We start from the raw sequence: 27,840 nt of genomic DNA, 5'->3' as shown, positions 1-27,840 counted from the left end.
CCCAGGCACGTGTGCTCATGTATACATGTGTGTACACACAAAAACACAACTCTAATCTTAATGTACACATAGTTTTAGATTCTGTTTCTCCCCACTTTGTATTAAGCTATATTTTCTGATGTGATAAATATAATATTGTGAGCATTTCCATGTGTCTGAGAACACGACCTTAAAGAGTTAAACAGCATTCCACCATGTGGTTGCGGCTAGCCTTCTTTTAAACATGGTTTAAGTTTACTGCATGCAGATGAAAGGCACTGGCTGCCTATCAGGGACACCGATGTCTTCTAAAGCCACTGGATGCTTTAGACTTTCTCACACTTCCCCTGGCCACCAGAGCTCAACCCTGGAGAGCATCTGGGGATGGGAGAAGGGTTGGTCAGTATCTTAAGTCCATTCAACCTTGACCTCTCTGGAGCAGTCAGTGCCGGCTGGGTTGGTGGTTTAAACAACATGAACACTTGCCTCCTGAAATGGACTCGAGTTAATCTGATCTGAGGAGGCCATCAAGAAATCCATATCAAAGTTCTTAGAATTTGATTTCATTAAAATCATAAAAGATAAAGATTTAATTGTGAAAACCTAGTTTTCTTCTTTGCAAATCACAGCCCCTGTGTTACCACTGATGTCCAACTGTGCTTCCAGGACAAGCTGAAGAGAGATTGGACTCAATTGTCCATCAAACAAGCTGGTGCCAGGCTGGCACCATCAGCCTGCTCCGCCAGCTGGCTCTCCCACGGACCTAGCTGGAAGGAGATGGCCTGGCCTACTGTACACATGCAGTGTGGCACTAACATTCATCCTTACCTTTCAGACCAATTTTAAGTTACTGGTCCACCCCTGGTAAATGTCTCAGAGGGTTCATGCCGACACTGAACATAGGAGAGGAGAGAATTTAAAAAGAAAAAAACAAAACAAAACAAAAAAACAAAAAAAACAAAACACAAAAGTGGCATTACTTATCACCCCATTTCCCAGTGTCCACCCCCAACCCACCCCAGTCAGTGGTGGGTGAGAAACACGCTTCAGGGTTGGTAGAGATCTCAAACTGTGATAAGCTGCACTTGCCTGTTGCTAGGAAACGGTGCATGGCCAGGAGGAGCTGTGGTGATATTTTAACCTTCATCTCACTGTCTGTCTGCTTAAAGGCAGAAAAATCTTGCTTTCGTTCCCGGTGAGCCACTTTCTTTTTCGTTCTGTTGTCAGCTAAGGGAGGAATTAAAAGAGAGAAAAAAAAAGAAATGCATCCCATGAGATGAGGGCTCTTTTTGAATGAAAAAGACAAAATATATTGGAAGAGCTGGACTGTATTTCCAGATGCAGGCGCTCTATGCACAGATGCCACGGGGAAGGAGGGAGGGAGAGCCAGATCCTCATCAAATCAGCACGGCGGCCTGGGCACCACGCAGTCCGCAGCGAGTGACCGCAGGCAGCCTGATTAGTGAATGTACTTCAGGAAGGTCTGTAGAGGGCCCTTGTGAGCACAGCATCAGGCAAATGCTGACAGAGCCTCTCACAAGACCCACAGAAGCACACAGCAACAGGGCGCGCAGCCTGGAGTGCACAGTCCACTGTTGCTCAATGTCACCATCCTCCAGCAAAGGACCACCACTGTGTACACACAAGGGAGGAGTGTCCCTGCCTGTAAGAGGCCCCTTCCCTCTGCTGAAAGACAACACACAAACAAAACCCCCTTAAGAAACAAACATGAATGCTTTCGCAGAGCAGTGTTTTAATAATATGTTTGCTTCACTGCTACTCCAGACCATGAGATCCTCAAGGTCAAGCAGATACGAATGGGATCCGGACAGAGGTCTGCGAACTTCCTCCGAAAAGGGCCAGAGAGTCAATATTTTAGGCTATGTGGGTCTACATAGTCTCCACACTGCTGTTTAGAAAAATGAAGGAGCATGGCTGTTTTCCAATCAAACTTTCTTTATGAACACTGCAATTTGAATTGCATATAATTTTTGCATGTCACAAAGTAATTGTTCTTCTTTTGGTTTCTTTTCTTTTCTTAAGACAGGCTCTTGCTCTATTGCCCAGGCTGGAGTACAGCAGCACAATCGCAGCTCACTGCAGCCTCAACTCCAAGGCTCAAGTGATCCTCTCACCTCTGCCTCCCAAGTAGCTGGGACTGCAGGTGTGTGCCACCACGCCCAGCTAATTTTAAAATTTTTTTTGTAGAGACAGAGTCTCACTATGTTACCCAGGCTGGTATTGAACTCCTGGGCTCAAGCAATCCTCCTGCCTCAGCCTCCCAAAGTGCTGGGATTACAGACATGAGCCACCATGCTTAGCCATTTTGCAACAATTTTAAGATGTGAAAAGACACTCTTAGCTTGCAGGTCACCAGAAGCAGAGTGCAGGCACCCATGGGCTTTGGTTTACCAGTTCCTGACCTGGAAGGTAACTCCTGCAAAACCATCTTTCAAGTATTTTTCTAGACAAATTAATGATCAAGAAAAAACGAGCTTAAAGACAAGACCCCAATTGCTTGCTCCTTCCCAAGGACTGAGTCACTGCATTATTGTTTCTTGCATAAAGCAAAACAGATTGATTACTAGGCTTTTCCTGAGAAGGCGACTGCAACTTCCACTTTCTGTCTGTCTCAATTCTTTTGAGAACCAGACAGTAGAAATCAATACAGAATTTAAAAATAATTTTCTAATGGCAACAGCTGTCACTCCCAATCTCTATCCAGATCAAGAATATACCTGAAATCGGCCAGGCACGGTGACGCCTATAATCCCAGCACTTTGGAAGGCCAAGGCAGGTGGATCACTTGAGGTCAGGAGTTCGAGACCAGCCTGAACAACATGGTGAAACCTTGTCTCTACTAAAAATACAAAAATTAGCCAGGTGTGATGGCGGGTGCCTGTAATCCCAGCTACTCAGGAGGCTGAGGCAGGAGACTCCCTTGAACCCAGGAGGCGGAGGTTGCAGTGAGGTGAGATTGCACCACTGCACTCCAGCCTGGGCAATAGAGCAAGACTTAGTCTAAAAAAAAAAAAAAGAAAAAAACCTGAAACCACAAGTCCAGCATCTTGAGCCAGTAACATCAGGCAACACTTCTGTATGAGATCAGTCCAATCAAGGCTTAAGAGAAGTTAAACTAACATTTGTATAAAACTGAAGTGCAAACATAGGATCTCCTAAATGGTAAATCGCCTTCCTAATGGTAAGTACTACCCCTGGGCAAACAGAAATACAGACACACTCGGTTTGGGTTTTTTTTTTTTTGTTTTTTTTTTTGAGACGGATTCTCACTCTGTCGCCAGGCTGGAGTGCAGTGGTGCGATCTCTGCTCACTGCAACCTCTGCCTCCTGGGTTCAAGTGATTCTCCTGCCTCAGCCTCCCGAGCAGCTGGGACTACAGGCGCACGCCACCACACCCAGCTGATTTTTGTATTTTTTTTTTTAGTAGAGTCAGGGTTTCACCATGTTGACCAGGATGTTCTCCATCTCTTGACCTCATGATCCGCCTGCCTCGCCCTCCCAAAGTGCTGGGATTACAGGCATGAGCCACCACGCCCAGCCACAGTTGGTTTTTAAACAGTCATTTGTGAGGAAGGATGAAAAGAACGTAAACGTACAAATAATATTCTCTGAGACCTCTGACGACCCTCCAAGTGAGGAAAGGATAAAACAGATGTGGGAAAGGGTGTTTTTTAAGAATGCTATTCAGATGTGAGGATAAAACAGGATACGTTTTCAGAAAATAGTCGTTAGTTAAGTGTAAAATTTTTTCTTTTGTGGGTACAGGGAAGACTTTCTCAGTTTTATTTATTTATTTTGAGAGAGTCTCACTCTGTTGCCCAGGCTGGAGTGCAGTGGTGTAATCTCGGCTCACTGCAACCTCCACCTCCTGGGTTCAAGCGATTATCCTGCCTCAGCTTCCTGAGTAGCTGGGATCACAGGTGCGTGCCACCATGCCCAGCTGATTTTTATATTTTTGTAGAGATGGTGTTTCGCCATGTTGGTCAGGCTGGTCTCTAACTCCCGAACTCAAGTGATCCACCCGCCTCGGCCTCCCAAAGTGCTGGCATTACAGGGGTGAGCCACCATGCCCAGTGACTTTCTCAGTTATTATTATCATTTTTTGGAGAGAGAGTCTGGCTCTGTCACCAGGCTGGAGTGCAGTGACGCAATCTCAGCTCACTGCAACCTCCGCCTCCCGGGTTCAAGTGATTCTCCTGCCTCAGCCTCCCAAGTAGCTGAGACTACAGGCATGTGCCACCACGCCCAGCTAATTTTTGTATTTTTAGTAGAGACGGAGTTTCACCATGTTGGCCAGGATGGTCTTGATCTCTTGACTTTGTGATCTACCCACCTCGGCCTCCCAAACTTTCTCAATTTTAAAATGTGGGATGTTTCCTTCTAGCAGGACTGAATAAAAAGCACCCTGCTTTGAGCAAAGCAGACTTTATCCTGAATGACCAGCTTGTTGGGAAGCTCAGACAGTCCATTTCCCCTCCGCCAAGCCATGCTTTAAAACCAGGCAGCATACACAGAGCCCAGATGCTCTTTCTCTATCCCACCCCTGGGACCCCCAAACATCTCAGGCCTGGACCATCTCTGGCTTTATGGAACCCTTGAGCATTGCTAAGGGTGTGGCCAAAGAAGATTTAAGCTCCACAGTCCAGCAATCATATTTTACACTTTAATGAGACAGGACTCAGTTCAACACTCAGTTCAGGATCAAGTCTACACCTGGGCAAATAAGGTATCCATACTTACCTCACCCTGCCCTGATCCAAGCCACTCCCCACTTTCACCTTCCCCCAAAGAGAAAGCAGAGAAGCAGAGAACAGGAAAAACACATTCTTACTGTGTACCCTACCCTATCCTGCTTCCCACACCCCCGACCCACTGCCCCAGCAAGCTACACTTGCACATCTCACCTCCACCCCTGACCCAAGGGTTCTGGAACAAGGAAGTATAAACAGTTGTCATCTATCAGTTTAACAAATCCCATTCACTTTTTTTTTTTTTTTTGAGGTGGACTCTCACTCTGTTAACCAGGCTGGAGTACAGTGGCACAATCTTGGCTCACTGCAACCTCTGTCTCCTGGGTTCAAGCGATTCTCCTGCTTTAGCCTCCAGAGTAGCTGGAATTACAGGCATGCACCACTACCACTACGCCCAGCTAATTTTGTATCTTTAGTAAAGACAAGGTTTCACCATGTCGGCCAGGCTAGTCTCGAACTCCTGACCTCAGGTGATTCACCTGCCTCGGCCTCCTAAAGTGCTGGGATTACACACGTGAGCCACCACGCCCGGCCTCCCATTCACTTTAAAGAGTACTTGAGTTATGAAAAGTACAAACAGAAGTTTATCTGAAAACAATATACCTAGTTGTATAAAATGAAATTTTAGTAGAGATTTTTTTACATATGTAAAATAAAATTTAAAACCAACAGCAGTTTTCTGTTTAGGGCAAGTAATGCCCTCATCAGTGGTTAGAAGCAGCTGGCTGTTCAGAAGAATGCTGTCGCTTGACATTACAGGGTCTGCTCCTTCTGATAAAAGGACTGGAATATACCAACAGGTTGTGCACGGCCTACACACATCATGTGTCATTATAAACAGAGGCAGCAACTGGAGAAACGTCAGAAGACTCACAAACAGCACAACAAAAAAAGCAAAGGTTTCGGGAAATACACTCAGACAATGCTACTTACTGTATAAATCTGTTTCATCAAGAATCTCAGATTTGATGATTTCTTCAATCACATCTTCTAAGGTGACGATTCCCAGAACTTCATAAAATGGATCCCCTTCTCCCTCATTGTTTACCCGCTGCACGATAGCCAGGTGAGATTTACCTTTAGAGACAAGAAAAAGTTTAGGAAGTGACTTTCTGAATTTTCTGAATGACATGTTATATGTGATATGGTAAAAACACCAGCAAACACAGATGTCGAATTATCAAAATCTCTGTTTCAGCATTTTAAAATGGTACTGAGACATCACAAACAAATGGAAGAACTTCAAGAGCCATTAAAAGGCAGAAAGTTACGCCAGAAGAGCGTCACCCTCCACATACATTGCACTGCACCATTGTTCTCTGCTTCCTAATGGTAATGTCTCTTGTTGCGTAACCTTTCGGCAACTGCCACCTAAAGAGAGTGGTTCTCAAAGTGTGGTCCATGGTGCCCTAGGGATTCCCAAGACCCTTATAGGAGGTCCATGAGGCCCAACTATTTTCATAAGAATACTAAGATGCTATTGGCTGTTTTCACTGTGTTGAAATTTGAACTGATGGTGAAAAGGCACCTTAGCACAGATGAACGTAGTGGGAGCAAGCTGCACTTAGTGAACACTGTTCTCTGTCACAACACACATGCAGTAAAGGGAAGGAAGTAGCTTCTCTTAAGAATGTACTTGGCTGGGAGCGATGGCTCACTCTTGTAATCCAAGAGCTTTGGGAGGCCCGGGCGGGAAGACCACTTGAGCCCAGGGGTTCACAATCAGCCTAGGCAACACAGTGAGATCCTGTCTCTACAAAAAAATAAACAGAAAAAGTAGCTGGACATGCAGGCCTACAGTCCCAGCTTCCTGGGAGGCTGAGGTGGGAGGATCCAGGAGTTCGAGGCTGCAGTGAGCTATGATCGAGCCACTGCACTCCAGCCTAGGCGACAGAGTAAGACACTGTCTTAAAAAAAAGTCCTTGCTGAAGCAGTAAACATTAATTTCATTAAATCCTGACCTGAGTACATGTCTTTTGGTAATCTGTATGACAACATGGGAATTGTCATAAAACACTTCTGTTGAATTCTGAAGTATGGCAGCCGTCCTGAGGAAAGACTCTTGTGATTGACTTGCAAGTTGGACTGGCCACTTTCATTGTTGAATGTTTTTACTTCAAACACGACTACTAGACAAACTATGGTTATATAGACTTGGGTATTTGTCAGGCATTTTCTCAAAAATGAACCTGTCACATCAAGGAAAACAATAGGCAGTGTGGACTGCCAATGATAAAATTTGAGCTTTCAACAGACAGTTAAAATTTTAGCTGGGTGCGGTGGCTCACGCCTGTAATCCCAGCGTTTTGGGAGGCTGAGGCAGGTAGATCACCTGAGGTCAGGAGTTTGAGACCAGCCTGGCCAACATGGCAAAACCCCATCTCTACTAAAAATACAAAAACTAGCTGGATGTGGTGGTGTGTGCCTGTGATTCCAGCTACTCAGGAGGCTGAGGTGGGAGAATCACTTGAATCTGGGAGGCGGAGGTTGCAGTGAGCCGAGATTGTGCCACTGCACTCCAGGCCTGGGCAACAGAGTGAGACTCCCACTCAAAAAAAAAAAAAAAAAATGCTGAGCGCAGTGGCTCACATTTGTAATCCCAGCCCTTTGGGAGGCGGATCACTTGAAGTCAGGAGTTCAAGACCAACCTGGCCAACATGGTGAAACCCTGTCTCTACTAAAAATACAAAATAAATTAGCCAGGTGTGGTGGTGCACGCCTGTAATCCCAGCTACTCAGGAGGCTGAGGCAGGAGAATGGCTTGAACCCAGGAGGTGGAGGTTGCAGTGAGCCAAGATCGTGCCATTACACTCCAGCCTGGGCAACAAGTGAGACTCTGTCTCAACAAAAAAGAAAAAAAAGAAAAGAAAATTAAAATTTTGGGAGACTTGTAGCCACGAGCGTAACAGCTTCTCAACAATTAAAGACTTTTCTGATGAGATTGCTGGTGATATTAACAAACGATTGTTAAAAATATTGAATATTGCAATCTGTCAACATTTTGAAGATCTGTATAACTCAGTGAACCAATATTTTCCAAGTGACTATGGCAATGTTACAAAATCATGCACGAGTACACAATCCATTTGGAGTATAAGACAGAACAACAGATTTTTAAAAATTCTTACTTTGGAATAATTTTAGATTTACAGAAAAGTTGCAAAGAGAGTACAGAGAGTTCCTATAAACCCTTCACCCGGTTTCCCCCATTGTTAACATCTTACACTACCATGATATATTTGTCAAAACTAAAAAATTGGCATTGGTACATTACTATTAAGTAAACTCCAGACTTTATTTGGATTTCGCTGATTATTTCTACAACATCCTCTTTGTTTTGTTGTCTGGTTCAGGGCACCACACCACATTTAGTTGTCATGTCTCTTTAGTCTCCTCTGGTCTGTGACAGTTTTTCGGTCTTTGCTTTTTATGACATTGACAATATTGAAGGGTACTGGTCAGGCCTCCTGCAGAATGTCCCCCGATTTGAGCTTGTCTGATGTTTCACCCATGAGTATACTGGGTTATAGGTTTTCTAGTTACATCAGTGGTTATATGACATCACTGCTGACATTCACCTTTTTCATCACTTGGTTAAGGCTGTGTTTCCCAGGTTTCTCCATTGGAAAGTTACTCATTTTTCCCTTTCCTTAATTCTATTATTTGAAAACAAATCACTAAGTCTAGCCCACCCATACAAGGGTGGGAGTTAAGCTCTACTTCCTGGAATATGGGAGTATCTACATGTATTATTTAGAAGGGGGAGTACCTGCATATATTATTCAGTATTCTTCTGTAAAGAAGATTTCGGACCAAACAAAGTTAATGTAAGAGTCCAAAGGTCTACTGGTATGGTTTCAGATTCTACATTACAACTAACCTTTAATAAATTACTATGTATGGAGTTTTGATGTAATATCAAAGGAGAATACCCATCACTGTCCAAAAAAGCTGATACTCCTCCCTTTTCCAAATACATACCTGTGTGAGGCCAGATTCTCCTGATATACTTCAACTAACACAGTATACTGCACAGACTGAATGCACAAGACTGAACCCAGCTGCCTTCCTTTTAGCTTGATTAGACATGCAAAAAGTAAAACAATGGCACTCTTCTACTGTTTGTTTTAGAAAATATTTTTATTAATAACACTATATTAGCAAGCAATGGATTATTGTCCTTTAAATCAACCAATGTTTTGAAGGTCTCTGTTTTAATTCAAATACAGTAAATATCAAAAGATAGAACCCACATAAATAAAAGGATCCTCAATCATTTTTAAGAGTTTCAAGGGGTCCTGAGACCAAAAAAAGTTTAACCCATTTATGTCACAGGTTGCAAGTTTTTGTGAAAAATCAGACCTTGGTGATGACCTTGAGCAGTAGAATATAAATAACTCCCACAAGCTTAGCATTCCAATAATGGAACACTAGGCATAAATAGGTTAAAGACTGCTGCTTTGGGGGATGGATTGCTTGAGACCAGGATGGCAAGGGAAGAACATGAGTCGAACAGTTCTGGATTTGAACTCCAGCAGGCCACTCATTAGCCATTACTAGCAGAAGACCATGACCAAACATAACTTTTCTGAGCTTCCTTATCTTTAAAGCCAGCCTCATAATTGTTACTGCAATAGGATTGTTGTGAAAATCAGAGATAATGCTGGTACCCAGCAAAGACACTGCCTGGAATCGGCTGGGTGATCACTAAGTGGTAATGCTCGTTATTTTATTAATGTTTTTCCTAAATTCTAAGGCACCATCAACTTATTACCAACTTAGAGGGAAAAAACCCCACTATATTATTAAATGTACAAAGTGATTAGAAGATGCACCTCAGGCAGGGCACAATGGCTCACGCCTGTAATCCCAGCATCTTGGGAGGCCAAGGCAGGAGGATCGCTTGAGGCCAGGAGTTTGGGACCAGCCTGGGCAACATAGTAAGAACTCATTTCTATAAAAAAATAAAATAAAAAGTTAAAAAGATGCATTTCAATCTCAAAGATCTTTTAAAATAGTAACAGCATCTCTCAAACAACAATATTGGTTTTCCCAATCCAAAGCATGCAAAGTATCTAAAACATATCCATAAATGAAGCCAAAGTAGGCATTATCTGGAAACTTCCTAATCAGCTAATTTTTGTATAATTTTTGTTTAATGACAGAGTGTTTTCTTGGTGGCGGTGGCGGGGGGTGGGGTGCAAGAGCTTTAAATAAAGTTTAGTTAACACTTTAAGTTGGGTAAGTTCACCCAGATACAACCAGCCACATTAAAAATATTCTGAGGGCTGCATCTGATCAAGCTCCCAGCACTTACGCAGACAATGGCTCTGGTCCTGCAGATCTGTTGGCCCTTTCTTAACTTGGCAGTCTAAGTCAGCTTCTGCTCTGCCTCAGACCCCCTTCTAGGCAGCTGTGTCTACAAGCCTAGAAGTTTAGATTGTTAGACAATTAGGCATCCTACAATCTTCATCCCTAGCATGCTCACGCTCAAAGAATGAAAACATTTTGAGCAGAGGAGACGAGGAGGGAAACTTATCAGCAATGGATATAAACACTGCATCAGGTCAAGTCAATTCTCATCTCATCCACTTGGTCCGGTAGGTTTCTCACATCTGCTTTCCCAAGGACCCAACATAAGCAGTTAAAAATTCTTGGTGAATGCTGTCTGTCGAAAGTTAAATTCTTTTGCTATTCCCAGCTTGTGATCATTTAAAAGGAATTTTCCAAAGCAAGGTCTAATATTAGACTCAAAATGAAGTTTCCATTCCACTGAGGCGCTATTCTCACCAAAGTAACTACCGTATAATCAGATTGTCTTGGAGCAACTCGTTTAAATGCAGATGGACATACTTGAAATACCAGCTCAATAGCACCGACAGATTTGGCTGGAAAGGGCCTTACTCTAGGAGAAATTATTCCTGTGAATTAGGCTTCTTACACTGAAAATTAAGTTTTCCTCCAAGTTCACTTGTTTCAAGGCTGAAACTTCTCCATCTGCCCCAGGGCCACATTCTTTTAACTTTGGAATTCCTGGTGAGAAGTCCTGTTTTCTGAAACTTCTTCCCTGTGCACAGTACAAAGGAAAAACAATGACACCTCTCTCCTTCACTCAGGCTTTTGGAGAACAGTGATTCCATGCACCTTCCCACTTAACCATTCACTGCAGGGACTTTAGTCCTTGTCAAGGGATAAATCAAAAAGAAAATGTAAACAACTTTTTTTTTTTTTTCTGAGACAGGGTCTCACTCCCTGGCTGGAGTGCAGTGGCATGATCGTAGCTCACTGCAGCCTTGAACTCCTGGGCTCAAGTGATCCTCCCACCTCAGCCTCCTGAGCAGCTAGGACTATAGGCGTGCACCACCATGCCCAACTAATTTTTAAATTTTTTGTTGAGACAGGGTCTCGCTATATTGCTCAGGCTGGTCTGGAACTCCTGGCCTCAAGTGATCCACATGGGCCTCCCAAATAAACAACTTTTCAATACATAAATTTTCAAAACCGAGCTCAAATAGGACCTTTCTTAACCTGAGCATTGGAAAAATTAAGTCAGGACTGAAAGCAGAAAAGCGACTCTGGGAAAACGAATAGAAGAATAAACCCAAAACTTAAAAAGATGATAAACTGATGGATTCTTAACTTCCAACGAGAAGAATGAAAATATAGCAGTCAACAAAATATTTAATCACAGATATTAAACACTAAAACTTTTAAATATGCATAGACTAAATAAACTTTATAAACTGCATATAGATCAAATAAAGCATAAATTGTTGTCACGATCAGGGCTTGGGAGAGCGCCCTTTCTTGCAAGCTGTAAGAGATCTTGCTGTACACCAGGCAGTTTGAACTGTTCTGGTATTTAAATTCCTAGCCCTTCTCCTCCTTTTCTGGTCCTAAGGGAATCTAAACAGGCCTGTTTTCAGAGTACAGGGTTTTACAAATACATCTCTCCTCAAATTCAGAATCCTAAGCAAGCTATTATGAACAGCCTAGATTGCCCATCTTTCTATAACCACTAGTGCTCAGGGCAGGGCAGTAACACAGGTGAAATTACAAAAACCATGTCTGCACTGGGAGATGGACTAAGCAACTAAAATCATCTATACAAGGTAGAATTGGGATCAAATTTCTACCTCTGCCTGCTTCCACTGCTCCACAAATTAAAGTTTATTATTTGCATATTCTCTCTGAATTGGTAAACCAGCCCAGAATGGTAGTGGATTACCACATTTGCATCTTTTAACCTTACCATACTTCTAGGCTCAAATTTTAAATGACAGATACCATTTGTATTTTGATGGTAATAACTGTTTTTATTATGATTAAGCCAACAAGGACACCTGTAACGGCCAGATGAAAATATGGACTTGTTTGCTATCAGACAATGTTGATGTCAATGAAGTGAAATGGGACTAGGCAGACATTAAGGAAGAAAGTCGATGGAATGGATGTAGTGGAAGGGAATTAGGAACAACGTGATATAGCTGTGCTAATAAAAAGTGACACAGAGTAGTCAAGAAGACCCAATAATGCAAGCACAAGGCAAACTGAGCCTGTGGGGTCCTAAAATGCCACTCAAACAGCAGGAAGAAAACAGACCCCCGTCATGAGAAACTCAAGCCAAACATCTTACATTCGCCATGACATCTGCGTTGCACAACTCCAGGGGGCACCGTTAGCACAGAATGCAATGCTTCATGTTTCCCTGAAGTTGTGAGATGCTGCGGCCTCCTTACTAACCAAGGAGACGGCAAATGAAGCATCTGATATGCTTTTGTTTTTAAATTTCTGATCTACTAACATAAAATTATAATAATTCAATAAATAGGAATCAATAAAATTGCAAAAAGGGAGTTCTATAGAACTAGTGATAAAAGAAGCAAAAGCTCTCCAAGTCTAAATTTAGGTCCCATGTCACTAACAAAAAATGACATGATCTTTTAATGGCTACACTTAAGATCTCCAGAGGAAGCCAATTTGCATATTGGCAGTCAAGGAAGTCAATACACTTTAAATATAATTACAATTGGATTTAGTCAGATTTACAAGTGAACAAACTGATCAAGTGAGAGAATGTATATGAACATAATATATAAGCCATAAAATCCGGGCTATGAATGAACTATGAACAATGAACTATAGTCACACAAATTCATTTGTTTGTTCCATAAATATCTGCTGACTGCCTACTATGTGCCAGGCCCATACCACAAGGACCAAAATACAAGCACTGGCTCTCAAGAGGCATTCGAGCAGGGGAGATGGACACTAGGGAAGCAGACTCTGGGAAAACTAATAGAAGAATAAACCTTGAAGTGAAAAGGCATGTTGGGTCGTGTTCAAGTGCTGTGGAGAACATAACAGTAGGGGCGGGATGACATTTAACACAGGATGGCCAGGGAAAGGCCTGGCAGCAGGTGGGAGGAGAATAGCCCTGGGAAAGGGCTGAGGCGGGGAAACCCAATCAGGAAGTTACCAGTAAGCCAAGCCAGGGAGGATGGTGGGCCCGGGAGCAATGGTGCAGGTGATGAGAAGTACCTGCATTCTGGATAGACAGTGTTTCAGAAAGAGCCAGCAGGATTTGCTGATGGACTGGATAGCGGGTGGAGGAGAATGAGAGAGTCAGGCTGACTTGCTTTTTGGCCTGAGCAATGAGAGGAACAGAGCTGCCGCTCCCAGTGGAGGACAGTGCATGGCATCAGTCTAGAAGGCAGAAGTCAGCTCGGTTTTGGATAAATTTGACATCCTAGTAGAAATGTCAGATAGATACAAGAGTCCAGAATTCAAGAGAGAGAGACACAGAGGTAAGCTACAGACAAAAACTGAGCAAGTACAGATGGTAGCAGAGCCAGAAACCCACTGAGATCACCTAGGCCATGGATGGCGAAAAGAGCCAGCGCTAAGCATGGGGGTGCCCGAGTTTCCTGGGTCAGGAGGCTGAGATAGAACCAAAGAGAGACTTGAGAAAGAGTGGCCAGCAGGAAGGGGAGGGGGGAATAAAGGGAATGGGTGTTTTGGAAGCCACATTCAAAAACAAAAACTGTCCCAAATAGCAGAAAGCAGTCAAAAGTATCAAATGCAGCCGAAAGGTCACGAAAGGTGATTTTGGCGACAGAAGATGCTGGAGATAAAGACTGTGGTGGAGGAAGGGCCTGAGGGCCACAGTGTAAGTGACATGCTGAAGACTCTAGAGTCTGGCTAGTGTGCTTTCCCCTCGAGCCCTTTCTGCTTCTAACACGGAGGCCCGAACTGGCCTGCTTCTGCCAAGTAGCCTTGACCACAGAGAAAAGGCCTGTCATTAGGACAGTTCAGCTGTCCTCTTCAAAATAACACCTCCCTCTTTGAGTCCCTAGATCTGAACATGACACCATTAGATTTCCAATCACCCAGGCTTTAAAACTCTGAAATCTTTGTCTTTTCTCTTTTTCTTCCTTTTCAATGAAGAATGAATGAATGAATAGGTACACACACACAGCTGCATAAGTTTCACAGCTCAGTGAAACTTGACATTTGTGTATACCTGGAAAACTACCACCGGAAAGAGCCGGTGGGAGTCAGGGTGTTGACAACAGCTACAGGGGTGGGTGAGGCGGAAGACGGGGCTGGAGACAGGAACGGGGAATAGGTAATGTTGTGATAAGAGGAGGGGCTAAGTAGGTTCAGCAGACTTCAGGCTCCAAGGCGAACACCCTCCATGTGGCCCCTTCGGTAGGGCTCCCTTTCCTGCCCCTTCCCTTTGTTGATAGCAGGTCCCTTAAGCATAGACAGATCACATGCTGGTCCAGCAACAGGGCATGTCATGATAACTGGGGGACAGCACAACTTCAGAATAAGAGAAGCAATTCTCCTCCCGTATTTAGCTATATCTGGAATCTTAGTTCAGGTCTGGGTCTTGTATTTTACAAGAGGCAAACTGAGGGGAAATGCTGTACGATATACAAACTATGTCACGGGAGGAACAATTACATAAGCCAGAGACGTTTAGATGGAAGAGACATCTGGGCAGGGATGAGGTTGACAGCAGCCTTCAAATATCTGAAATCAGTCAGCTCCATGCCTCCTCACCCCACAGCTTGTTATCTGCACACCTGTAGCTCAGTGTGCTACAACATGGTCTCCCTGATTAGGCCATCAGCTCCAGATCAACTCCGGATCCACCTTTGTGTCAGCCCCTGCCAAGTCTAGCCAACGGCCAACACTCCTGTTTCTTCTCTACTCCTCCATTCACAAAGGAAGACTTACTCACCATAACATAACCACAGCATTCCATCACGCATGCACAGTGCTCACTTCCCACCAGCTACTGAATTAAGGAGAAAATGTTCCTAGGGCAGGGCTCAAAGGCATCACCACACTGCAACCTCCACTCTCCCCTTCTTAAGCTTCATCCGCCCAGACTTGACTTTTCACAGTCAGGTCCTCCATGGCTCTACTCACCCCTTCCTCTGCTTGAGCCCTTTTAATCCTTTTTTACCTTGCTCTTAATTCCACACATAATATCACCCATACCAGGAAGCCTGTTCTATTCCCAAAAGTAGAAATTATCTTTTATATTTTTGAGCTCCTATAATGTCATCTGAATTTCTCTTAAGGCATCTGTCTTTTTTGTTTTTTGAGATGGAGTCTCACTCTGTTAAGCAGGCTGAACTGCAGTGGTACAATCTTGGCTCATTACAACCTCTACCTCCCAGGTTCAAGTGATTCTCCTGCCTCAGCCTCCCAAGTAGCTGAGATTACAGGCATGCACCACCATGCCTGGCTAATTTTTGTATTTTTAGTAGAGACAGGGTTTCACCATGTTGGCCAGGCTGGTCTTGAACTCCTGACCTCAGGTGATCCACCCTTCTTGGCCTCCCAGAGGTGCTAGGACTACAGGCATGAGCCACTGCCATCTGGCCACATCTCTTTCTTATACTAAGTTTGTGATCTTTTCCCTGCTAGACTGGAAGCTCCTTGTTTCTCACCTTTCTCCCAGAACACCTAGCTTGATGCCACCCTCTACAAAGAGCAGGTAAGAAGGGGTCAGCCCTTATAGAGCCCCAGCCCCTCACTCACTGCCCTAACACACACAACCCACTGGGGCTGCCCTGCCACAGCCGCACCGTACCTAGGCTATGGGAATGCCTGGGACTCTATACCCACATTACTCTTAATAGTATTTTAGACAAGTCATTTCTCTATCCATTTCCCTCTCAATTAAACACCGGCAAAACCCAAAGAAAAATAAACCCTGAATTACAAGCCACGTAACAAACACTCAGATTTTTGTAATGAATACATGGATGAATGCTGATATGTGCCTTGCAAGTCTTCGGACTACTGTGGAGATCAACCTAGTATTAGAGGCCAGGCGCAATCGGTCACACCTGAAATCCCAGCACTTTGGGAGGCCGAGGCGGGCGGATCACCTCAGGTCAGGAGTTCGAGACCAACTTGGCCAACAGGGCAAAACCCCGTCTCTACTAAAAATACAAAAATTAGCCAGGCATGGTGGTGCACTCCTGTAGTCCCAGCTACTCGGGAGGCTGAGGCAGGACTGAATCTGGGAGGTAGAGGCTGCAATGAGCTGAGATCACGCCATGCATTCCAGCCTGGCTGACAGAGCGAGACTCCATCTCAAAAAAAAAGCAAAAAAAATCTAGTATTAGAACACGAGCTATAATCAAACCTGCTTAAGGAGAAGCAATACAATTTCATTTAGGAAACTATCACCTAGCTATTTCTGTACTGAAAGCTAAAATAAAAATAAAAACAAACTGTGTGTATCTTCTTTTTTTTTTAAGTACTTATTTTACCTTACCATCCCCACCAGATCTAAGTACATTTTTTCCAATTGAATTTTCCCACCATAAAATACACCAGAAAAATGTGACACAGATCTTAAAATAGTCCTATATAAACAATACATGAGTGTATATATAGAAGCACTTGCTGTATATAGAAGCCACTGGTTTTAAATGATAACTGTTGCTATTCTGGGAGACAAAAGCCTCCTTTTACTACTTCCAAAAATTCCAAAGTCTGACCCATAAGTGGCCGGCCCAGACCTCCCTAGCAGGACAGTTCCTTCAGTCCAGCCATGAACATCCTCACTCCTGGTTAGGCCTGAACTAATGCGTCTGCCAGTGAGGCTGACTGGTGGAATATGGAATCATGGTTTCTTTAAAAAAATCTAACATTTTTTGGTGAGGGTAGAGGTTTATTTGATACAGGGCCCTCTCCTGGACAGGACCCTGAATTTATCTATTAGCGTCGATGACAGTGTTGCTGCTGCTCTTTGGCCACTTGAACAACTCTGACAGTAGGGAGGTAGCACTCACTGAGGTGGTCACCCTCTAAAAGACTTTGTTTAAAACCAGGAGAAGCAAAGTAGACAAGTCCTCTCCATTAGTGGCTAAACAGTCTTGGCACAGTGCATGCAGCAGCCAGGAGTGTTATTTTAAAATTGACTGGTTGAATTTCACTTCTCTGTAAAAATCTCCATGCAGTAAGACCAGAAATATTATACATTGAGAAAAACTAATCTAGGTGGTTCTCAGATTTTACAGTTTTATCAATGGAGATTTGGGAAAGGTATGGTTACCCTCAAGGACATCAACATTTACATGTTAGGAAAGTTCCTGAAATACACAAGACTGTAGGCTAGGCACGGTGACTCAACGCCTGTAATCCCTGCACTTTGGGAGGCTAAGGTGCGCAAATGGCTTGAAGTCAGGAGTTCGAGACCAGGCTGGCCAACATGGTGAAACCCCGTCTCTACTAAAAATACAAAAATTAGCTGGGTATGGTGGTACATGCCTGTAATCCCAGCTGCTTGGGAGGATGAGGCAGGAGAATCGCTTGAACCCAAGAGGTGGAGGTTGCAGTGAGCCAAGATTGCACCACTGCACTCCAGCCTGGGTGACAAAACTAAGAGCTGTTTAAAAAAAACAAAAACAAAAACAAAAAAGCTGTAGATACCTGCCTGACACACTATAGGCAGGCAGATATTTACTGAATGAGTGATCTACAAATCGCATTTAAACCTTTTAAACATATTTTCAACGTATACAACTTTCTGAGCTAAAAGATATTTTATATTTGTCCTAAAACTACCCTCTCCACATTTCTAGAGTTTTCCTTTGTACTTATACTTTATGTTTATGTCTGGCATTATTTTTTGAGGCTATGCTATCTATCTTCTCTAAGTCATCATTACAGAGAGAAGACTCCATCTTCTTATACTATACCCAATATTTCATTTAATAATTTGACCCTGATTTTTACAAAACGTTTTTATATTCAACACTATACTTAACTGTCACCATCAATTTTCCCATCGTATGCTTTCTTCCACTCAAATACATATTGAGTAGCCAGACATGGTGGTCATGGTGGTGTGCCTCCATTGTCCCAGCTACTTGGGAGGCTGAGGCTGGAAGATGATTGAGCCCAAAAGTGAGTCTAGCCTAGGTAACATAGTGAGGCCCCCCTCTATGAAAATGTATTATATATAAAAATAAAATATATATATTTATTATATAATACTATATAATATATATAATTCCCAACACAGGGCTAAATATATATAGATGTCTACTTCTTTAATATGATTAAAAAGATCAATTAGGAAATGATTATTCATATTATTTGAAAAATCCTTTGCTGTTACAAAATGGAACATTTTATTTTAATTTTGAAACAATTGTATATTCACATGCAATTGTAAGGAACAACAGGAAGATCCTGTGGATTTTGCTCAAGATCCCATTTACTTTTCCCCAGTTTCCCCCAATGGTAACATCTTGCAAAACTACAGCACAGAGTCACAACCACGATATGAGCATTGACAGAGCCACAGTATAGGACACTTCTACCACCACAATGACCTTCCTATTTCCCTTTTATAGCCATACCCACAAACTAATCATTTTAATAGTTTCCTTGGTAAAATAAGGCCTTAGTTTTCTATTGACAGTGGCCCTTATGCTTTAGTGTTTAAGTTTAAACAAATATTTAAAAAGCTCACTAAACGGTTATCAATAGAAAAACATTTTTCAGTCAAAAAATTGTTTTACATGCAACATTTGAAAACCCGAGTGAGGTCCAATCCTGACAAAGATTAGCCAACCATGCTTTCCTGGGTGAGGTATACAGCAGGTAGTTGTATAACTAAGAGAGAAACGGTTTTTGGAGAGAGTAGCAGAGACCCCACCTCGATTTGATAAACGTCTGCAGAGGCACACCTGTGGCAGGATGATTTTCCAGGCAGCTCCTCTTTGGCTTCTCCCAATGTGTTGATGAATTTAACAATCCCTGGTAATTCAATTAAACACTAATCTAGGTGCTGTTGTGAAGGGATTTTGCAGATGCAAATGAAGTCCCTAATGGGACTTCATGGGTTGACTTTAAGGGAGATCACTCTTGGTAGACCTGACTTAATCAGTTGGAAGGCCTTAAAAGCCGGGCCTTAAGACTTTCTGAAGGAGAGAAGAAATTTCTCCCATAGAAAACAACTTCAGACTGTGCCTGTGGGATTCCAGCCTGCTTGTCATCTTCTCTTCCTAATGACCTGTCCTATCAATTTGGGCTTTCTTAAACATCCTCCACAATACATAAGCTAGAGTCTTATAATAAATCCCTTGATGAAAGAGTGTGTGTGTGTGTGTGTGTCCTATTGGTTTTGTTTCTCTGGTTGGATCCTGACTGATAGACTCAGGATCTATACCACAAAGGGATTAACAGAAAGCAGAAAGCAAAAGGAAAACTAGGATTAAACTAAGTTCTCATTTCCCAAAGCCAAGACAGCTAATGACTGATGCGTATAAGAAGACAAACTAATGTGTGTGCGCTATGCCAGAGAATTCGATCCATGAACTTCCCGGTGACAACAGCAGACACAGAAAGTAAAGTAACCCTCTGAAACAAAGAAACCTAAACTGTTTAAAAGACAAGAAGCCAAGTCATTTACTTCTAGCCATCCAAGTGGATGGTCCTATCAAAGACAGCCCTCCAGCCCTCTCCCCTAAGTTAGGATTCCAGGCAATAAACAAACAATGGATGGTCTCACATTCCCACCACCACCCACTCCTTTTCTCTTTCGCTTGTTCTTCAGTCTTGCTGCCAGATACTTTAGCCAGAAACCCAAAGTGAGGCAATTAATAGAAAATTCCAGTCATTATGTGACTTACTTAATGGCCCATCCAAATGACTTGTGAGAAAATCTCATGAACCAACAGAACAGAGACTGAAGAGTTTTTTCCATTATTTCTCTCTCTGAGTATTTAAAGACTCGGATTTTCCCATCTTTTGGGGAAATATTTTCTTATAAATAGTGAGGCATGCTGGGCATCTCCACTTCATCTTTTTTGGTGGTCTGTAACACTCACTGTACACTCATTGGAATGTTTCCCTAGTAAGTGATGGGCAATGGAAAACATGGCTAAGACAAAAGATGGCTTTCAGGCTGAGATGATGGGAACCTTCTCATGTTCCCCAAGAGACAGGTAGTTCTTCTATAGAACTAAGGGGTTTATTTTAGAACCAATGAGACTATTTCTGTCTTTCCTTTAGGCCTGCAGCGTTTATAAGAATGATAAACGAGGACTGACCAGACTACTTAGTAGTCCGTTTAGTAGAATTCCAATATATCCAATAATAGTAGGAGTTATTTTTTATTTTTCAAGACACGGTCCCACTATGTTGCCCAGACTGGTCTCGAATTCCTGGACTCAAGTGATCCTTCCACCTCAGCCTCCCAAAGTGCTGGGATTATAGACATGAACCACCATGCCCAGCCAATAGTAGGAGATTTTTTTTTTTTTTTTTTGAGACGGAGTCTCGCTCTGTCGCCCAGGCCGGACTGCAGACTGCAGTGGCGCAATCTCGGCTCACTGCAAGCTCCGCTTCCCGGGTTCACGCCATTCTCCTGCCTCAGCCTCCCGAGTAGCTGGGACTACAGGCGCCCGCCACCGCGCCCGGCTAATTTTTTGTATTTTTAGTAGAGACGGGGTTTCACCTTGTTAGCCAGGATGGTCTCGATCAGTAGGAGATTTTTAAAAGAGATCTATACTTCTGCTGCTAAGCCCAAATGTTAGGGCTTTGGTTTTATGATTTACTCTTCTGTTCCATTATAAGGTTTTAGTTTTTAGACCAATAATTATTTAGAAGCTTTGTTTTACAGTCCAAACTTACTGATTTCAACTAAGCTAATTTCTTGGCTGATTTCTACAACACAAGTAGACAAGATCAGTAATTATACAAAAGTCATACATAAAAATGTGGTCCTGTTGTCACAGTCACTGAACAAAAATTACCTAAGCCCAGACAATGTGCTAAATAACACTGCAGATCAAACCACACCGTACATTTGCTGCAGTCACAGGCGTTTTAAGGAGAGGAATGAGGTCGGTTTTTAAACCTGCTTGAAGGGGAAAGTAATGGTTTTTTTTGTTTTGTTTTGTTTTTAAAACCAAAAAAAAAAAACAAGAAAGACAGACCTTAACCCCTTTTCTCACTCAAGTCTCCTCTTTTTGGGAAGTCCTTCCTGATGACCTCAATTTGGAGCGAGGTAGAATTGCTATTATTTATTATTATACATTTAATAGTAAACATATATTACATAGTTAATAATTATGTGATATAAGGGAAAAGAGCTATCAAGATTATCCCCCTCCCAAAAAATCTCTGGATATTAGAAGGAAAATTAATCATCTAGATAAATTCTTATCCAATGTATTAATTATCTTCTGTAAATTTTGTGCATATGATAAACTTCAAAAAAAAAAATGAAAGGGTGAAAATATTTCAAGGTCTTCCTCATTGTCCTAAAATCCTAGCATTTTACTTTTGCTTCCTGTCCCCAGAAACTTCAAGCACTTCATCTTCATTATAGAGGAGAAAAAAGATGCAAACAACTTTTAAAACCCAGTGTTCTCTATTATAGATTCCTTCATAATTCCTACTCACCATTCCCATGATCTACTTTCCCCCAATAGCTCTTAAAAATGTGTAGAAGGGCTGGGCACGGTGGCTCACGCCTGTAATCCCAGCACTTTGGGAGGCCGAGGCAGGCGGATCACAAGGTTAGGAGTTCGAGACCAGCCTGGCCAACATGGTGAAACCCCCATCTCTACCAACCAAAAATAGGATCCTAGGGTAGAATTTGTGTTTATGGCTTTCCTAACTCATCCTCCTTTAAGTTGTAGAGACGGATGTATTTCAAGAGAGGAAATTTTTTGCAACATTTTCACAATTGTTTGTACATGTTTTTTCTTCACCAGAAGCTTTTTAAAAAAAACCTTAGATTGTCCAGGCGTGGTGGCTCACGCCTATTTGTAATCCCAGCACTTTGGGAGGCCAAGGCAGGCAGATCAGGAGGTCTGGAGATTGAGACTGTCCTGGCTAACACAGTGAAACCCCGTCTCTACTAAAAAATACAATAAAATTAAGTGGGCCTGGTGGTGGGCGCCTGTAGTCCCAACTACTCGGGAGGCTGAGGCAGGAGAATTGCTTGAACCTGGGAGGCGGAGGTTGCAGTGAGCTGAGATCATGCCATTGTACTCCAGCCTGTGTGACAAAGCAAGACTCCATCTCAAAAACATAAAAATAAAAATAAAATAAATTTAAAAAATGTATAGAAGACAAAAATTAGTTTTTCTGTTTTTCTTTTCTTTTTTTTTTTTTGGACAGGGTCTTACTCTGTCACTCAGGCTAGAGTGCAGTGGCATGATCATGGCTCACTACAACCTCCACCTCTTGGGTTCATGTGATTCTCCTGCCTCAGCCTCATAAGTAGCTGGGATTACAGGCATGGGTAGCCACATCTGGCTAATTTTTGTATCTTTTGTAGTGACAGGGTTTCACCATGTTGCCCAGGCTGGTCTCAAACTCTTAAGCTCAAGCAATCCATCCACCTCAGCCTCCCAAAGTGTTGGGATTACAGACGTGAGCCACCACACTCAGCTAAGTTTTTATATTTCTATAAGAAAAAAGTCACCACCTAAACATCCACGATAAAGCCCCGTTAAGTAAATTCTACAATATCCACACTAGAATGCTATGCAGCTAGCGTGGATATAGTAGGATTCTATCAGCAATAGAATGCTATGCAGCTATTTAAAAAAAAAAAAAAAAAAAAAGAGCTACATCAATTGTTATGAAAGGCTACTCTAAAAAAAAGTCATGTAGAATATTATAGTATGTTCCCATTTGTATTCATTGTAATTAATTGCATTAATCATAATTATATATAGAAAACTCTAGAAACAAATGTTAACAGTGGCATTCTGGATGAAATTTGCAGTACTGTTAAAAATTTGCATTCTACAGGGTAATTCTTTTTTTCTTTTTGAGATGGAGTCTCACTCTGTCCCCCAGGTTGGAGTGCGGTGGGGTGATCTCGGCTCGCTGCAACCTCCATCTCCCAGGTTCAAGCGATTCTCCTGCCTCAGCCTCCTGAGTAGCTGGAATTACAGATGTGCACCATCACGCCCAGCTGTTTTTTGTCTTTTTTAGTAGAGATGGGGTTTCACCATGTTGGCCAGGCTGGTCTTGAACTCCTGACCTCAGGTGATCCACCTGCCTCGGCCTCCCAAAGTGCTGGGATTACAGGCATGAGTCACCGTACCCGGCCCCTAATGTATATATTTCTAACAAGAGAAAATGTGTATTTCAACCAGGGATCAAGGGGAATAGGGTCCTCTGACAGTGTTGGACACCTCTAAAAAGCCACTTCCAACCCCCTAGGCCCCAGTGCTCACTCCCTCCACTGCCGCAGTGACTAGTTCACGCAGGCTTGCAGTGGCTTCATGCTCGTGCATCAGTGCAGGCAGACACTGCCTCATTGCTAATGCTCAATATTTCACTTCCTGCCTTAGGATTTCTCTTGAAACTTATTCTGCAGTTATGCATATGCAAACAAGAGGGAGAAATCAACGGGATAAATCCCCTCACGCCCCCCCCGCATTTTGTACTTAAGCAGACAGTTCTGAGAGCATTCCATTCCATAGGTTCCTAAAAAGGTTCTAGTGGAATTGAACACCTGCTGCCTAGGCGCTATCAGATCCTTAAATTTTCTTTCCCTCCTTCTCATTTCACTTTCCTTGTCCTGAACTCCTGCTTCCTGGGACTGCACTCCATATAAACTTCCCTGCATGCAAGTCTTTCTACCAGGCTGATGTTCAGGCTAAGACATCGGGTGAGTGGAAAGTTTTTCCACCAGCCACTTTTTGGTTTCACACATTTCATGCTCTTCTACTTGCAGATTCCAGTGCCAGATGTGTTAGAACACACTCCTGTCTCAATACAATGCAGGGCTTGTACCTTTGAGTGACATCCACATTGTTGGATATCATTTATGCAGTGAGATGGCCACCAATAACTATACATCAAAGTGACTGCAACCACAGAGATATATCCCAGTAAACTCAAACAAAGTGTATATCCACAGCTTAACTTTCCCACAGCTGAATCCCAAAAATGCTTGGGACCACTCCAACATTGCCACACACAAGAGTAAGAGAGGGTAACTCAATGTGGAAAGAGTAATTTTGGCCCACAGTAAACTTTCCGATTTTTCAAAATTTACAAATACACATAAACATGTAAAACTTGCTAGGGGTCTTCCCAGGGCCTTGGAAGCAGCCCACACATCTGAGCACTTAAGCTTTAGCTTCATTAGCTTTGTGGTAATATGCTTTTCACGATGCACTAATTGAGTAACTACAACAAAGGGAGCATAAAGCACAGACTGAAAACCCTAAAATCTACATACTCCACCATCCCAGTCTCATCTAAACCTCAGATATAAAAATATTCCATCTGTCCATCTGGTCCTCCTCCTCCTCTTGTCCAATAAGCATCTTAAGTTCAACATGTCCAAAACTAAACCTATCATCTTCTTCACAAAACCTGTTTCCCTGCTTCTAATCCTTATACTAATGACATCTGTAAAGGTCAAATGTGAAACTGTGAAAGTCAACTTAGATGCCTCTTTTCCCTCTAGTTTCATCCGGCTATGACATATTGGTACCTAACATTGTGTTAGGTTCTAAATTTAAGACTGCCTCCTAAATATCGACTTCCCCCCCTGCCAAGAGGGAGCCTCACTCTGTTGCCCAGGCTGGAGTGCAGTGGCATGATCTCAGCTCACTGCAGCCTCCGCCTCCCAGGCTCAAGCAATTCTCCCACCTCACAAGTGGCTGGGACTACAGGTGTGCCACCACGCCTGGCTAATTTTTTGTATTTTTAGTAGAGACTGGGTTTCACCGTGTTGGCCAGGCTGGTCTTGAACTCCTGACCTCAAGTGATCCACCTGCCTCGGCCTCCCAAAGTGCTGAGATTATAGGCATGAGCCACCATGTCCAGCCAATATTGATTATTTCATAGTCTCCATCCCTATCACCAGTTCACCTAAATTCCAAGTCCTCATTACTTCTAATGTACCTAACTTTAATGTAATTTCCTCAAGGCCACCTCACTGATGCCATAGTAATCTTATTAAAGACCAAATCTGAACATGTTACTCCTCTGCTTAAAATTCTTCCATAACTTCCCACTGCATTTAGGAACGTTTAAGTTCTTTGGGATGGCATTCAAAGCCCGTCATGATGGGATCCTTCTCTAGCCACATCTCCCATAGCTTTGCTCATTCCATCCAAGAGCATACATTTTCCAATTCCCCAAACTAGATATGCTATTTCACTGTTCTCTTTGCCATAAACACTGGCCTCCCCTTGGCTTCTTTACTCTTATTCTCCCTCAAATATTCAATGTAAGCATCATCTCATCTTGGAAGTCTTCCTAACCTCACCTAGACCAGCTGGGTTTGGTGCCTGTCACTGTTCCCACAAAGCCTTCATTGGCTCCATTAGGGCACTTATTACCCTGTATTAATAACTATCTCACTCTCCTCTGAGATTATTTTTTTTTTTTTTGAGACGGAGTCTTGCTCTGTCTCCCAGGCTAGAGTGCAGTGGCGTGATCTTGGCTCACTGCAACCTCCGCCTCCCAGGTTCAAGGGATTCTCCCGCCTCAGCCTCCCTAGTAGCTGGGACTACAGGCACGTGCCGCCATGCCTGGCTAATTTTTTTTTGTATTTTTAGTAGAGACGGGGTTTCATCGTGTTAGCCAGGCTGGTCTCTATCTCCTGAACCTCGTGATCCACCCGCCTCAGCCTCCCAAAGTGCTGGGATTACAGGCGTGAGCCACCGTGCCTGGCTCCTCTGAATTTTTAGTCCTCTGTGAGATTATTGAAGGAAGGGTTCTCTTTCACATCTAAAGCCTTAGAAACTAGCACAGTGTCTGGTAGATTATTTATGTATTTATTTATTTATTTTGAGACGGAGTTTTGCTCTGTCACCCAGGCTGGAGTGCAGTGGCACCATCTCAGCTCACTGCAACCTCTGCCACCTGGGTTCAAGTGATTCTCCTCAGCCTCCTGAGGAGCTGGGATTACAGGTGCTGGCCACCACGCCCGCCTATTTTTTTTTTTTTTTTTTTAAGTAGAGATGGGGTTTCGCCATGTTGGCCAAGCTGGTCTTGAACTCCTGACCAGGTGATCCACCTGCCTCAGCATCCTAAAGTACTGGGATTACAGGTGTGAGCCACCATGCCTGGCCAATACTTTTAATAAAGCTTAACTAAATAGCTCAAATTAATCTTAAGAAAATAGGAGTGGGGGCCGGGCACGGTGGCTCATGCCTGTAATCCCAGCATTTTGGGAGGCCGAGGCGGGTGGATCATTTGAGGTCAGGGGTTCAAAACCAGCCTGGCCAACATGGTGGAACCTCGTCTTTACTAAAAATACAAAAGTTAGTGGGCATGGTGGCACACGCCTATAATGCCAGCTACTTGGGAGACTGAGACATGACAATCGATTGAACCTGGTGTGCGGAGGTTGCAGTGAGCCGATATCACATCACTGCACTCCAGCCTGAGTGACACAGCGAGACTGTCTCAAAAAAAAAAAAAAGAAAAAAAAAAAAAGAAAAAGAAAAAGAAAAGAAAGAAGAAAATGGGAGGGGGATGAAGATTATGGCGGAAATGGTATTATCTCTGCAAGATCTTGTCATAAGAGGAGATTGTCTTTTTTTTCCTGGGACACAATGAAGTAAACAAGGCCAATCAGTGACTGCCAGTTGATTATAATTTTAGCAACCATTTCCCAGAGGAATGACCAACTGTTGTTACCTAATCTAAGGCCTTGTACATAAAAGACACTCATTTCCTATTTAATTGTACTGATTTTATTATTTTAACTCTTATTGGCACCAAATTCTAGAAAGGTTACAATAGAGTTTGTTCTCAGATGAAGCCCACTTGAAAAACAAGTAGAAATCAAACCCTGTGCTCCTTCCTCTGTTGTGCTTGAGAATGTCTTCAAGAATTTTCATTATCTTCTTATAAACACAAAACATGAATTCAACCTGAAAACCGAGACTCTGATACTCAAATACAATGAGTTGTCAAGTAAAAAAAGATAAGTGTTTACTGAATGACTAGATGAATAAATGAGCGAATGAATGGCCAAAAGAACTCAACATTCATTTGCTTCCGTAAAGAACCTTAGAAACAGACCATCCTTTTGAGGGACCTGGTCCTTGGTAAAAATGACAAACTGTCTTAAGCTTTCTGTGAGTACGCACTACAAATGCCTTATGGAACATCACCTCAGTTCCTGATACAATGTTCAGCAGATCTAGGCTGCTCTCGGTCACTGACCCCTCATCAAAAAAGGCACAGATTTTAAGAGCTCAAATATGTGACAGGACCCTAGGCATACTATCAGTGATTAAGAACTTTAAAATTAGACAAGTATGGGTGTAGATGCTTTGACTCTGTTACATACTACCTGTGTGACTGAGAGCAAGTCATTTACCTTCTCATGGCCTCCCACTTTGACCGTCTGTAAATGGAGATATACCCTATGTTTACTATAAAAATTGAAAAATCAAATGAAAAAACAATTTAAATAGTGCCTGGCACATAGTAAGTGCTCAATAAATGATAATGATTATATTACTGATGAACTTTCTCATGGGTTAGGAAGCTAAAAATCATCTCAAATGTACATGCATAATACCTTTTAATATCTATAGAAACAGGA

General features: G+C 42.7%; 1 protein-coding gene across 2 annotated transcripts in view; it reads right to left on the bottom strand.

The window, feature by feature from the left end:
* Positions 1-27,840, bottom strand: part of CNNM2 (cyclin and CBS domain divalent metal cation transport mediator 2) — a 171,929-nt gene that overhangs the window by 34,688 nt on the left and 109,401 nt on the right. For both annotated transcript variants that reach the window (NM_017649.5, NM_199076.3), the window contains exons 2-3: positions 5,685-5,828; positions 1,069-1,206 (exon numbers count right to left, since the gene is read on the bottom strand). In NM_017649.5, coding sequence (NP_060119.3) covers positions 1,069-1,206; positions 5,685-5,828 — 282 coding nt within the window. The remainder of the gene's footprint in view (positions 1-1,068; positions 1,207-5,684; positions 5,829-27,840) is intronic.

Source organism: Homo sapiens, chromosome 10 (genome assembly GCF_000001405.40).
Source record: "Homo sapiens chromosome 10, GRCh38.p14 Primary Assembly".
Lineage (NCBI taxonomy): Eukaryota > Metazoa > Chordata > Mammalia > Primates > Hominidae > Homo > Homo sapiens.
The sequence above is the reverse complement of the archived record's forward strand: the minus strand, read 5'-3'. Positions and strand labels throughout refer to the sequence as shown.